At 37.1% G+C, this 15,751-nt stretch overlaps 1 pseudogene across 1 annotated transcript in view, besides 1 other annotated feature; it reads right to left on the bottom strand.

Annotated features, from left to right (window-relative positions):
• Nucleotides 1-15,751, bottom strand: part of TPTEP1 (TPTE pseudogene 1) — a 46,920-nt pseudogene that overhangs the window by 13,025 nt on the left and 18,144 nt on the right. The window contains 1 exon segment of the transcript NR_001591.1: nt 12,909-12,965. The product of NR_001591.1 is annotated as a TPTE pseudogene 1 (transcript).
• Nucleotides 11,115-11,284: an enhancer, noted in NCBI's record as "experimental_62165 CRE fragment used in MPRA reporter constructs". NCBI's record gives its function as "activates a minimal promoter by MPRAs in K562 erythroleukemia cells, with activity observed for both the introgressed and non-introgressed 22:17105497 variant alleles {active_cell/tissue: K562}" and the evidence as "EXISTENCE:reporter gene assay evidence [ECO:0000049][PMID:34662402]".

The following is a 15,751-nucleotide window of genomic DNA, read 5'->3' as shown; positions in this document are numbered from 1 at the left end:
ATACCCAGAGGAATATAAATCATTCTACTATAAAGATACATGCATATGAATGTTCACTGCAGCACTATTTACAAATAGCAAAGACATGGAATCAACCTAGGTACCCATCAATGACAGATTGGATAAAGAAAATGTGGTACATATATACCATGGAATACTATGCAGCTATGAAAAAAGAATGAGATCATGTATTTTGTGGGAACATCGATGGAGCTGGAGGCTCTTATCCTTAGCAAACTAGTGCAGAAACAGAAAACCAAATACTGAATGTTCTCACCTATCAGTGGTAGCTAAATCCTAAGGACTTATGAACACAAAGAAGGAAATAGACACTGGGGTCTACTTAAGTGGGGAGGGCAGGAGGAGAGAGGGAAGCAGAAAAGATAACTATTTGGGTACTGAGCTTAATACCTGGATGATGAAATAATATGTAAAAAAAAAAAAAAAAAAAAACCTCCCCGACACAAGTTTACCTATGTAACAAACCTCACATGTACCTCCAAACCTAAAAGTTAAAAAAAAAAATTGGCCTTTGATGAATGATGTTAGGTTAACCTGAGATAAAGGAAATCCCCAATCCTTCTAATCTGCCCCTCTCCACCTGGACCCACCACCTCCACCCAGGCTTGGGGAGTTAAGGCTGATGTAGATGGAGGATCAATTGGCCAAAAGAGGTGAATTCTCTCCTCAAGTTGCCATTCCCTTACTACAAGAACCTCTGATCCCACACAGTCTACTGGATCTCTGGGTATCAAGGAAATGTCATAAATCTGAACTCACTTTACAATGTCACCATACAGAACCAAGTCTGACAGATTACGAAGGCATGAAGAAGTGGCTTGGGTGGCTTTAGCCCCTTAATCTGTTTCAGTGTCCCCTGAAACTATACCAAGTAAATACACAATTGAGACTTTTTTGGTTAAAAAAGGTGTACTATGTAAATGCAGCTTCAAGCAGTTATGTGCAGAGTTTGCAAGGAAATAATTATGACTCAGTAAATCCATACCCAGGAAAAGTACTGTTCACACTCGGGAGCAACAGACAGACACTCCAACATGAAGCAACACGAAGCACAGCCTCCATGTACCTTTCCTAAAAACAATTACTCAAAGTGCTTGAGTCAGCTGAGCAATGAATCAAAATGAAGAACATAGAAATAAGGAAGATGACTTACAGAGAAAAGATGGTAAATAATATAAACTCAAAATTAGGTAAGTCTAAATAATAATTGTTAATGTAGCATAAAAATGTAGCAGGTGAACAAAAGCAATGGCAACAAAAGCCAAAACTGACAAACAGGATCTAAATTAAACTAAAGAGCTTCTGCACAGCAAAAGAAACTACCATCAGAGTGAACAGGCAACCTACAGAATGGGAGAAAATTTTTGCAATCTACTCATCTGACAAAGGGCTAATACCCAGAATCTACAAAGAACACCAACAAATTTACAAGAAAAAAAACAACCCCATCAAAAAGTGGGCAAAGGATATGAACAGACACTTCTCAAAAGAAGACATTTATGCAGCCAAGAATGAAAAAATGCTCATCATCACTGGCCACAAGAGAAATGCAAATCAAAACCACAATGACATACCATCTCACACCAGTTAGAATGGTGATCATTAAAAAGTCAAGAAACAACAGGTGCTGGAGAGGATGTGGAGAAATTGAACACTTTTACACTGTTGGTGGGACTGTAAACTAGTTCAACCATTGTGGAAGACAGTGTGGCGATTCCTCAAGGATCTAAAACTAGAAATACCATTTAACCCAGCCATCCCATTACTGGGTATATACCCAAAGGATTATAAATCATGCTGCTATAAAGACACATGCACACGTATGTTTATTGCGGCACTGTTCACAATAGCAAAGACTTGGAACCAACCAAAATGTCCAACAATGATAGACTGGATTAAGAAAATGTGGCACATATACACCATGGAATACTAAGCAGCCATAAAAAAGGATGAGTTCATGTCCTTTGTAGGGACATGGATGAAGCTGGAAACCATCATTCTCAGCAAACTATTGCAGGGTCAGAAAACCAAACACTGCATGTTCTCACTCATAGGTGGGAATTGAACAATGAGAACCCTTGGACACAGGAAGGGGAACATCACATACCAGGGCCTGTCATGGGGTGGGGGGATGGGGGAGGGATAGCGTTAGGAGATACACCTAATGTAAATGACGAATTAATGGGTACAGCACACCAACATGGCACATGCATGAATATGTAACAAACCTGCACATTGTGCACATGTACCCTAGAACTTACAGTATAATAATAAAAAAAATGTAGCAGGTGAAAATGTAAATAAATGATTGTAAAAGTAAAGATAAATAATATAAAATCATGAATAATAGTATTGATTTGAATTTTTAGGCATTCTTACACTAGGATTCAAGGTGTGGAAGAAGATAGAAGTAAAGGCAGGTTGCATTTCTTATCTTTCACAGGTACAAGTCCAGTTTTATTCTCGATATTGATGGATAAAATGGTATAATTATGTTTTCTAAACATTTAAATATAAACATTGATAGACTAGAAATGGGCTTCTGACTTGCATATCAACAAAAAATGCAAGGGATAAAAACAAATCAATTAATAGCAAAATACAGACAAATTTACAAAGAAAATATCAAAGTATTTTTAATAAAGAAAAAGATGATAAATAAAACCAAACATACCAGAAATCATAAATACAAACATATTACTCTCATATTGCATATTGAGAAATACTCTCAGATAACTTTGAAATTAAAGGCATTACATGCTATACACGACAGACAAAAACTAAATTTAAATGACAATTCAAAAATAAAGAGATAGAGCCCAGGTGCGGTGGCTCACGCCTGTAATCCCAGCACTTTGGGTGGCCAAGGTGGGTGGATCATGAGGTCAAGAGATTACAGGCGTGAGCCACCGTGCCCAGCCTCTATATTGATTTATTTCTGTCTCACAGTTCACTGATAGCTCCATTCCAGGGTACTGATTTGAATTCAGACTTGGCAGTGCTACAGAATTTAAATATATATATGTATCGTCCAACACCAATATGACATCCTACACTTCACTTTCCGGTTTGAATTACTCACAAACGATGTTTAGTTCTTTACAATTGAATGAAGCACAAACTAAGCATTTGGTGGTTTACTTTATTTCAAATTCAGCTGCAGTTTCTATATACAAATCCCCTTGACCTCATCTCATTTCCTGACACTAAAATCCCTTCATGAGTGCCTTGTTTTTGCCATTATAGGTGTCTTCTCTGCTCTCACACAGGGTCAAGAAACTGCCCCATACAATGTGATGATGGGTGTGGGCTTGCAGTGTTAGCTTCACATGGTGGTAGAGCTCTGGGTGTGAGGAACCCTGCCAGGGCCATTAGCTCTGTTTTTTCCCCGAGGGCCCCACTGCTCCCTGTCCACTGCTACTCGCTTGTTGCTCTGCATAGGGTTTTCTTCCCTTGGTCCACTCTAGTATGTCTCATACACAGGAAATCTGACTTTCCTAAGTATGTGCCTGCTACTAAGGGTGACAAGACAATAACAAGAAGTTTCCTTTTGCCCTGTTCCTTTTTTATCCAATTTAATCAAAAAGTTGAATAAGGGGCCTGCAGGGCCTATAGTGAGGAGGTTTATAAACAGTGTAAAAGACATTCTGTATGGACATGGATGATCCTGAGAGTAAGCACATAATCTTCATCTTTCTCTCTGTTGTTTCTTTCTCTTTCTCTCCCTTTCTCTCTCTCCCTGTGTTTGTGTGTCTAGATAGACAGAAGTATGTATATCTGCATATATATTTCTTTAAATATTTGTGAATATATATTTTATAATTCACATTTCATTGGTGGTTCTATCATAGGTCATTGATGTCAATTCTGTATGCAGGCTAAAGGAATATAAAAGCAGATAGTTGGACACACATGTAATTCTAAACTTACTTTTTGGATCAAACAGCTACAGTTACTCTATAATGTACTATCTGGTTGATATTTAAATATTCATGTGTATATCACTAATTCGAACTAGGTGTATCCTTTTTTTTAGGCGGAGTCTCACTCTCACCAAGGCTGGAGTGCAGTGTTGCCATCTTGGCTCACTGCAACCTCCGCCTCCCAGGTTCAAGCAATTCTCCTTCCTCAGCCTCCTGAGTAGATGGGATTACAGGCATGCACCACCATACCTGGCTAATTTTTGTATTTTCAGTAGAGACAGGGTTTTGCCATGTTGGTCAGGCTGGTCTCAAATTCCTGGCCTCAAGTGATCTAGCCGTCTTGGCCTCCCAAAGTGCTGGGATTACAGATATGAGCCACCATGCCTGGCCAGTGGCATTTATTTCTAACGTAACTGCAGTCTGTAAGGAAACATGCCTCTTACCCCATCTAAATTCTTGATTCCTAAGTCCGTCACTTCTTTACTTTCACCCATCATGGCTGTCTTTCCTGCCCAGAAGATATGACCATGTAGCTGTAGGCCTGAGTCAGGAACTCCCTACAAAATGATTGTGGGTTTGGGTTTGGTTTGGGGCACCAGCCTCACATGGTGGTAGAACACTAGAGGGTGAGGAACCCATTACGGTTTCATGAACCCTGTTCTTTTTGCTGAGTGCTTCACTCCTCCCTGTCACCTGTTACCTCCCCATTGCTCCAAATAGGATTCTCTCTCCCTTTGGCCCACTCTAGTAGTAGGAGAGTCTCATAAATGGAAAACCTCAGAGGTTCCTAAGGGATTGCATACTACTAACTTAGAGTGACAAATATACTAAGAGGAAGAAACATCCCTTTCATGACTTCATCCTCTTTTATCCAATTTGGTCTGAAAAAAAAAAAAAAAAAAAAAAAAGAAGGTTATCTATAGATCCTACAGTAAGAAGATTTAGACATAGTGTCAAAGATACTCTGTATTTCCAAGGATATGCCTGACAGTGAATTTTACAAATATCAACTTCTCTTTCTCTTTGTTTTATGTTTCTGTGTATGTGTATGCATGCGTGTATGTTATGTGTATATATGTATATATATACCTACGTGTATATAAATCTTTGTTTTTAATTCACATTTCATGGGTGGCTCTATCATAGGTTACTACCATCAACTCAATTGGCTGTGGGCTGAGGAATTATAAAAGCATATTATTCAGATACAAACATAATTGGACTTACACTTTTGGTCAAATAGCTGCAGTTACTCTAGACATGAGTCTACCTGCCAAGGAATGCCAAAGATTGCCAGCAACCAGCAAAAGCTAGCAAAGAGGTATCAGATTCTTCCTTATAGCCTTCATAAAAAACCAACCCTACTGACAACCTCAATTTCAGATTTCTAGTCTCTAGGACTATGAGATCATTAATTTTTGTTTAAGCCACTTGGTTTGTGATACTTTGTTAAAGCAGCCCTAGAAACTAATATAGCCCAACCTGGTAGAATCTCATACACAGGCAATCTAACAGTTTTCTAAAAGTTTTGGCTACGAGTCAACTCAGCTAGGAAGAAGAAGTAGACTTCTTGTGATCTATTTATCTTGTATCCAAGTAGACACAAAAAGAAAAGGATGTTACATACAGAAGCTGAAACTACCAGTACTTTAGAAACAGTGTCCAAGAAACTCTATAGTTAACATTTGCGTGTATCTTTATGAACATACACACACACACAACACCTTTCACTGATGACTCCATTATAGGCTAGTGATATCATTTCACTTTCACTGAGGACTCCATCATGGGCTAGTGATATCAGTTCATTTGGGTCAGAGCTAAAGAATTAAACTAAATTGTACATAATCAAATACCATGTGAATTTGTAGGCTTAATTTTTATTCAAATTAGCTACAATAACCCTACAACTAATAAACTAGCTGTTCTAAAAAAACAAAACACAACACATGCAATTTAGCCATTTGGAAACAATAGTGACCATCCCTGCCTGTCTCCATAGACAACAACAGCAACTACCTAGAAGTAGTTACAGTAAAATTAGGAGAGCATTAGGCTGGCTGATGAAAACAGGGAAGGGCTGAAGAGCCATCCTTGGGCCTTCACTCCTCCACCTGCCTCCATCTCCAAAGCCCAGGTTACAAACCAGAGAGATTGTCTCCTCCAATGCTGCTTTGTTCAGGAGCTTCAAGGTGATATAGTTGTTTAATTAAACGAAATTTTCCCTGAGGTTGCCTCTGTACTTGAGTCCTTATGCAACAAACTGCAAGCTAACCTAGTGTGTAAACTAACAGCATAATTATGAATAGAATATACACTTGTAACAGACAGCTGTGTCTCAGTCAATTAGAGCGGCTGAGCTTCAGTCAATTGCGGGTGGCTGACTGATTCAAATAAGACAAAACATCCAGCTGTAATCAGTTGTAAACAACAAAGCTGTTTCTGGACCTCATTTCCATTTTCTGTCCATAATGCTGTCTGGCCACATTGCCAGCTTGCAGTTCTCAGAACTTGTTCTCGTTCTAAAAGCTTCCCAACTAACAAATCATTCTTGCACTATTAAACTCTTAAATTTACCTTGTCTAAAGTTTTTCCTTTTCACAACCCACAGGAGTTGCCTGGTCAGTGTTTCATGGTTCCTGAGACTCTCTACCCTGGGGCACATCACTTCTCTTCATTTTAAACTTACTGACAATGACACAGCTTACGTCCTAGATTTCAGTGCGACTGACTATATAATTCCTGCCCAAACCAGGACACTTTTGAAAGGAAAAAGTGGGTGCTATTAATAATTATGTTGTAAGAACAGCAGCAGACTGAGATTGTCCTTCAGTCCTTCCCCAATACAAATGACAAGACAGAGTAGCCAATAGCCACAAAAAATCTGAGTTCACAAACCAACATGATTAGATATCTGAGGAATACAACTACTGAAAAAGAAATACAACAAGCTGAACAACAGCATACCAACTGTAGCAAAACTACTGGAACACACTGACCAAGATTTTAAAGTAAGCATGACAAATATTCTTAAGGATAAGAGAACACAAAGGAAGATGTTGAAACATGAAATGAGAATGGGAGTCGTAAGAAAAAATAAAAGAGAAAGCCTTAACTGTAAAAGTATGACTGTCAAAAAATATAAATTGGTGAGGGATAAATAGTAGTTTGGATATATGTGAAAAGCTAATTAATTTAGAGTTAGAAGATTAGATTGAGAAACCTACCCAGAAAATAGTAGAAAAGAATAAAGAGAACATACTAAAAAGAAGAATGTTATGGAGAATAAAAACAGCTATCTAACATCTAGAATATGAAAATCTAAGAAGAAATGAAAACTAAAAATGCAAAATAAAATGTGAAAATTTATGATGATAAATTTCCCAGAATTCAAGAAAGAAATATATCAGCTTTAATTATCTAATGGAGACAAAGAGAAAATTCTAACACCTTCTAGAAAGAGCAAAAGACCTATGAGGGCACAAGGACAGACCAACATCATAGCTCTCTGTACCATAAAGAAAGCTTCCACAGGATAAAGTCCACAGGATCAATATCATATTGCTGTTCTCTGAATATACTGTAATATGATTAGCTTTTTTAAAAAAACCCACATTTGAAACTAAATTACACATTACTGAATGCCTCTTATGTTAAAAGGGAAATCACGAAATATTTTAAATACTAAGAACTGATTGATAATAACATGACAAAGTTTGTAGGATACAATGAAGCAATATTTAGAAGAAAATTTACCAATATATAAGCATTAATAAGAAGTCAAGATGGTTAAAAACAAAGAGTACACATTTAAGTAGAGAGGTTGGAAAAGGAGCACAGGGCAAAGTCTATGGAGTAATAAGGAAGCAAAACATAAGGAGGTAAGCATAAGTCACTGAACTGGAGAAGAAAAAACCGTGGAGAAGATTAACAAAACAAAAGTGTGTCTCTTTGAAAAGATTACTACAATAGACCTGTGGCAATAATAATCAAGAACAAACAGAGTGAATATCCAAATAAAATGTACAAGAAGGGAGCATAACTAGAACACAACTAAAATTTTTTAAAATGAGATTATTCAATTATATGCTAATAAATGTGAAAACTTAGATGGAATGGAAAAATTCCTAGACGAATATAAGACACTAACATTAGTGCAAGAAAATATATTTATATAGAAATAGAATACTCAAGTAACAAAGAAATCAACCTAGTATTTAAAGCACTTCCCTCTCCCAAACACCACAGGGCCCACATAGGTATTTTTCAAAATTTTTTAGAATATTGACATACTTACTACAAAATCTGTATCAACATATAAAGGCTCCATTAATAACTAATCATGGTAATAAAAAAAGGTGTAGGGATGCCGTAAGTATCAATGGAGCAAAATATTGAGCTCAGAGATAAACCTATGTAGATATATGTCATTGACGATGATTATATAAACAAGGAAAAAGGATGAACTGTTTCATAGATGGTATTTGGAAAATCAGCCTACCATTGAGAGAAAAATGAAACCAAATCCCTACCTAACACCATATTGAAGGGTAGACTCTAAGTACATTAAAGCATTAAATGTGTAAATTAAAACTATGAGGATTAGAAATTACCTTTGTAGACTGAAAGTGGGAAAATTTCAAACTTCAAAAGTAAAATAATAAGGCAAAAAGTTCTGTCATGAAGAGAATGAAGAACAACAATGCCAAAGCTAACAGGCAGATGATGGATTAGAGAACATAACTTCAATGTCTAAAACTGACATGAAGGATGATTTGAATACATAAAGCGATAGTCCAAACTTTTGAATGGGATTCCATGCATCTGAGTCTGTTTAGTGTTGCCATAAGGGATACCTGAGGCTGGGTAATTTATAAAGAAAAGAGGTTTATTTGGCTCACAGTTGTGTGCTGCACAAGAAGCCTGATGCCAACATCTGCTTCTGAGGCTGCTCCCATTTATGGTGGAAGATGAAGGGGAATTGACACGTGCAGAGGTCAAATGGCAAGAGGGGAATCAAGGTGCGGGAAGCCGCTGGTCTCTTTTTAAACCACCAGCTCTTGCAAGAACTAATACAGTGAGTACTCACTCACCCTCACTCCAAGGGAGGGAATTAATCTATTCATCTTCCAAACACCTTCCATTAGGCCCCACCTCCAACATTGGGGATCAAATTTCAACATGCGGTTCTGGGGGTACAAACCTCCAAACAATAGCACCATGTTTTTAATGTTACTAAAAAGAGTGAATTCTTGCTATATTGTTTACAAATGTAACATAATCACTTTGAAAATTAAACATAATTTTAAAAGAAATTTGATTAACTTATTCTAAAATATAAAATATTCAAAAACAGCACACGTAAATTAACAAGACAAAGATAGGAACACTAGTGGAAAAACAGGCTAAGTTCATGAATAGACCATTACAGAAGAAATCCCAAATGTTATAAGAACATAAAATGATGCTCAAATTCATAAGTTATCGCATAAATTCAAAGTAAAACATAATGCAATATGTTACCATCTATTAGACTGATTATATAAATTGGAAAGTTTGATAATGTCAAGTGTTGTTGTGAATGTGTATGTGTAGGAACCATCATGCATTGTTCAGGAGATGCAGACTGGTATAACCATTGGAGAGCAATAGGCAGTATTCAGTCAAATTCAAAATATGCAATCCCATGGCCCATCAAGTCCTGTTTCATGTTCCTACAGAAATACTCAAACAGGTCTATAGGGGTCTGGCATAAGGATAATCATTTAGCGGCACTCTTTGTGAAGGCAAATGGTAGGAAGCAATATATGTGTTCCTCACTAGGGGATGCATGCTGTGCAATTTTTCATACCAGTTAAAAGCAACAACAAAAGGTATGCACAAGAAGAATAATCTTATGTTACTAAGCAAAAAACTAACAAAATGAGATACAACTTAATACCATTTAAGTAAACTTAAAAACATATAGGCAAAACAATAATACATAGTTTACAGAACACATATAAATGTATATACTGTGTATTAAACATATTAAAATTGTTGCATATGTATATATATCTGTATATGTCAATATGTATATCTGTACTCTCATCTATATATTAAAAAGGCCTACAAGTAGCAATGAGCCAATGGCAATCAGCATACCAAATGCAAAATATTGGTTTCTAAAGGGAATGAGGTTCTTTGGGTAAATGGCTGATTCTAGGGCTGGGGAAATGCTCAAAAAGTGATGGGAACATGTCAAGTCAAAAGGACACAGGGGCTAGCTTTTAGGGAGTCCCACTGGCCAAATATGGGACCATTTAAACATCAAAATAAATAATGACAGAAAGGATTGTAATTCATTGAAATAATGTAAGAATTTATAAGTTCATAGTAATAGTGAATAAATAGGGGCAGGAATAGCTCTCCTTATAATAGAATGGTACTTATTAAACACAGAAGAACTGCTTTTTTTAAAAAAAAATCACCATTTTGTAATGATCACAGTTACAACTGATTCACATAAAAATCAATGAATGCTAAAACTAGTGCATGAAAGTTTTATGTGGAACAGGATACTGAACATTGAAGATAGTTCTAACATAGACTGAAAGTATCTCCCCCCAACGTGGATATTAATTATAAACTGAATAATATTTACTTGTCAGCGAATAAATCTGGCAATAACTCTCAACCACAATAGAGATATGAACCATAAAACAGTGTAATATTCAATAAAGGAGTTACTTAATCTGAAAGTGGTATTCAAATCCCTCATCTATCCTTTAAAAGGCCATGAAATTATTTCCTGTCATCTCATATAAAAGATGTTGTAATATTCTAAGAGCTTGCATTTAGGTTGTCTCTGAAAAGAGTCTGATGAATAACTTGACAATAAGAAAGTGAATGCTGAGATTTTAGAGTGAATAGACATTTTAATCTCACAGTCTACTTTGTGTTAACTAACTCACCCCTCTCACATTTCAAAAATATCTAAAAGTAGCTGTTAGACATTCTATTAAGTCCTCCTGGTGAAAATGGAAATGTTTGGAGATTCCACCTTTGCATCATCTTCCTATATCCCACTTTTAAACATTTTTGGCATTGAAACTTTTTCTTCAAATGAACTTTTAGATATCACACATGCCTAGTAAACTTCAAATCTGCAAGTGGTGAATAGATAATCTGCACAGGAAACACTTTTTTTTTTTTTGAGACAGAGTTTTGCTCTGTCATCGAGGCTGCAGTGCAGCGGTGCTGTCTCAGTTCACCGCAACCTCTGCCTCCCGGATTCAAGTGATCCTTCTGCCTCAGCCTCCCGAGTAGCTGGGACTACAGGCATGCACCACCATGCCCAGCTAGTTTTTGTATTTTTAGTAGAGACGCGGTTTTACCATATTGGCCAGGCTGGTCTTGAACTCCTGACCTCATGGTCCACCTGCCTCAGCCTCCCAAAGTGCTGGGATTACAGGCTTGAGCCACCATGCCCAGCCAGAAAACACTTTTGACAAAACACACCAGCATTTCCTTTTGTAGAATCCTTGGGCCATATTAAGGGTATTGTTAAGCTGCCATCTCATAAAGTGTACAGAATAAAACACTAATTTGGGGAGACGTTAAAAGGGAATAGTAACAACAGCAGCAGCGCTTTATTTAAATGTGGAAAATTAATTCAAAATATAAAAAAATATTTTGGTGACTATATTGGTAATCTTACGATAAATAACTTTCTGAGTATAACAAAAACTGCATCAGTTATAAAAGTACCAATTATATTTGAACACATGAAGCTTATAATTAAAGCTCTATGTAAGGTTGCTGCATTTTACTTCAAACATCAAATGCAAAAATATATTAGAGATTTGCCACATGGAGTGGTGATATGACCAATTTATTTGAACAACAAAATTCCTTGAATCTAAAAGATATGGTAAATATGACTTAGCTTACTTAAGACCCAACTTTTTAGAAAGAATTTTAGAATCAGTGTCCAGAAAACTATTTTCCCATGAATAATTCTGAGACTGAATTTCACAAACCTGAATTCCTCCCATCTCCAATATATATTATGACATCATCTTTCATTGTTGACTACAGCACAGATTTCTGATGTCAATTCATTGGGGTCAGTGCAAAGGATTGAAAGGTAAATAGTAAGAAACAACATAAATGCATACACAACTTTTTTTTTGGTTCAAATTGGCTATGATTGTGCTACAAATTACAATGTGTTGTCCCTGAAAATTCTCATGTAAATCTGTTATTTGGCACCTGGTACTTGATTTTTCTCTAGAAAGAAGTCTCTATGTGTTGGTAATAAAAATTGTTTAGGACTCTCAAAAAAGTTTAATGAATCAAGATTTAAATACAATTTTTTATTACTGAACTTGATCATCATGTATGGCAGCAAATTTAACTTAAATTTGCTTCAAATTCATGTCCCATTTGTAGGCACACATTATTCTTGCCCATTTTGATTTCCTAATTATCAAGTCCCTCCTCCACCTTTATGCTCTTCATGAGTCACAGATATCTTTGCTTCCCCTCAAATAGGATCAAGTGACTAAACCTGAGGCAGGGGCTCCATACAATGTGATGATGGCTTTGAGTTTGGGGCACCAGCTCTGAAGCGTGAGGGACAGATACAGGGTCTCTTAGCTCCTTTCTTTCTGCTGAGGGCTCCTCCGCTGCCTGTCCAATGCTACCACCTTCTTTCTCCAAGTAGGATTCTCTACTCTCTTGGATCACTCTTGACAGAGTCTCATACACAGGCATTCTGATCGTTTCCTAAGGTTTTGGCTGCTAATTACTTGGGGTCACAAACTATCTTTGAGCACCCAGCATCCCTCTTCTAACCTGATCTTATTTTTTCCACTCTGGTTCAAAAACAATGTTACCAAAGATGCTTAAAGTCTCTGATAGAAAGCTGTTATTGCCATTGATGCTCCCAGTATTTTTCACCACTTAGATCAGTCAACTCACCCATTGTGGTCATAGTTGTCAGAGCATACAGTAGAATCTGGTAGTGAATCCATAACTCTACCAAAGAGTAAAAGGCACATACAAAAAATAAAGTCAGATATTTTGGAAGGCAATGAGGATGTTAATCTCAACAGTATTTCAGGACACAAAAAATAAAATCGGAGGAATTTTGACAAGAACTAAAGAAACAATTTCAGGATACAGCACTAGTACTTCTGAGACTGTGTGTGTGTGTGTGTGTGTGTGTGTGTGTGTGTGTGTGTGTGTGTGTGTGTGTGTGTGTCTGAGAGAGAGAGAGGACGCAGAAAAAAGAAAGAAAATGTAAGAATAATGAATGTTTATCAATGGCTAGTTCCCGGTCATCCTTGATAGGAAATAAACAAGTAGGTAAGTCAAGCATAGCCTTAATTATGTTTAAAACATTTTGTGAACTTAAAGTGGATTATGTGTTTACAATGATTTTGTTTTCCTTTTGTCTGGATTCTTTTTTTTAAAGTTATATGGCTATATTTTACAATATCAAGACTTCCTAGCACCGAAACCCCTGGCTTGGCTAATTTAATCTCTCTGCAACTTCATTTCCTCATCTGTAAGTTAAGACACATGCAAAATACACTCCACATCTGTCAACTTCATAAAACCATGCTGAATATTCAGCATTTTGCCAGTATTGGTTTTTAGACAACCTGCTCTCTACACCATGTATCATGTCATAAAAATCAGTATGTGGCAATATAAACTGATACACATTTTTAGTTTCAAATACACAAACATTCTCATCAAGGTAATACACTCCCAAGACTCAAGAATGCTCTTCGCCACAATTTTCTAACTTTTCAAACATTTAAATAAGTTTAAGAAACTGATCACATACATTTTTTTGCTGCTGACAACAACTGGGATTCTCTAAGAGTGTGCTGAGGTTTCTTATTTGACCACAGAACCTCTTTCTCACAGTGGAAATATGTGAGAAACATATTTTGGAAACAATATATTAAATGGTATCTTTTTATGTCTTTAAGAAAAGTTCCCCTACACAAACTAATTTTGGACTCTGATCAATAGCTCAAACCTTTAAGCACAGATAGACATTAATATTGTGCTAGTCTTTCAGCCTGTGAGGAAAGGAGTGCCAGAGTTCAAATTATCGAATCTCATTAGCCTGGTCTGAGGGCCATGAGAGGAACCTTTCAAGTTCTAAGTGGCTGTTCTCATGTCCTTGAATGGCTCCTGGAAATTCATCCAGGTCTCAGGAAAAACAATACCTTTTACAAAAAGAAAGGCATCTATAGGCATCCGCTACTTTTCAGCAGGATGAATAATTGGATTGTCTATGCAGAATACACTAATAAATTATAACAGGGGAAAATGTTCAAAACACCAAAAAGGTTAAGAATTTGAGTTTCTGACATAAGCAGCCTTATTAAATGATTACTAGATTTTTCAGACATCCTCTACTGAGGAAGAGAACTGGAAGACACTCAAATTACTCCAGATTCAGGTGACAAGCCAGGATTGCTAAGCAAGTTCCTTGGGAAACTAATCTCCAAAAAGGGCACGAGACATCCATAGATGTTACCTGAACTCCTTTCAGGGAGAGTACTGCATGAAGTCTGAAATAATACTTTGATAAGCTGCTTTGGGGCACAGAATGACTTCCCTCATGGGACATGAATAAGTAACTAGCTAAATTGCCCTCTAAGGAAGGTGAGAATTGCAAACTGTCCTAAACTGAAGTGGTCATGCAGAATTCTTAAATGCTTTTTGGTAGATAGGAGCAACCACAGAAGTTTGAGTTAGTTGAAAGTTAGCTACACCTTTATAATCATGCTACCAGGTTGTAATGAAAAGTAGGTCTCTGACCAAATCTGCCATACATACAGATATTCATTTAACAAAACATTCAGTAGCAAGCAGGCACAGTACATAAGCTTCTGTAAGCTTTCTGCACTTTAGGTGCTCCAAGCATGAAAGCTTCATTCTCAACAGATTCCTAATGTTTCAGAGGCCAAAATCTTCCTAAACCTTCCTGGAGATAGGACCATATGAGGATCAAGCCTTGGGTGTCGTCTCTAAATATACACTACAGGCCACCCTCATACACCTTTATCCTGCTTATGCAAGGGTGGGCTGTCTCCAAAACACGTTAGTTGATTCACAGATCTTAAAATGTCATATAATTGTAACATCCATCATGCTGCTTTGTAAGCCAACAGTTTCACTAATAAAAACCCATTTGTGACCTTCACTGTAGTAATTAACAATGTTTCAGGTGTTAATTGAGATGGGACCACTGAAGCCCTTTTGGTGGCCATCTCTGTGGAGTGGCTTCCTGAGCTGAACACTAGCTCACCATCCTTGAACAGAGAATCCACCATTAGGGCAACCAGCTGCCCCTGTAGGAAAGATTAAAGTGACCAGTATATGCATATTATCACACTGCCTAAAATGTCATAGAATGAGGCTTGGTTTGTTTTTTAAATTTTTTCTATTTCTATTATTTTTCTATCGAATTATTTTTCTATTTTTATTTGCTGGGTCACAGACAACAGCAAATTCCATACCTTCGGAGTTATACCAGCTCATCTGCAGTAGGAGTAGAAATATCAAAGCTCTCAGTCTACCACCTTGTGCTCCAGAGATGTGGCCCAAGCACATCTTTGGACGTGAATCAGGGCAACCCAAGGCAGAGCTGGATTTCTGGGAGTTTCTCCCTGTAAGCCCTGGACCTGCTTACCTATAGACCAGACTGCTTCCAGAGCCACTGCCAGTCAGAAGAGCCTGGGGTGTGTTCAGCTGCTAGAATCACACAAGTCTGAGATCTTGTGTCGTCAGTACAACAT

The sequence above is a fragment of the Homo sapiens genome, chromosome 22 (assembly GCF_000001405.40).
Source record: "Homo sapiens chromosome 22, GRCh38.p14 Primary Assembly".
NCBI classification, from domain to species: Eukaryota; Metazoa; Chordata; class Mammalia; order Primates; family Hominidae; genus Homo; species Homo sapiens.
The sequence above is the reverse complement of the archived record's forward strand: the minus strand, read 5'-3'. Positions and strand labels throughout refer to the sequence as shown.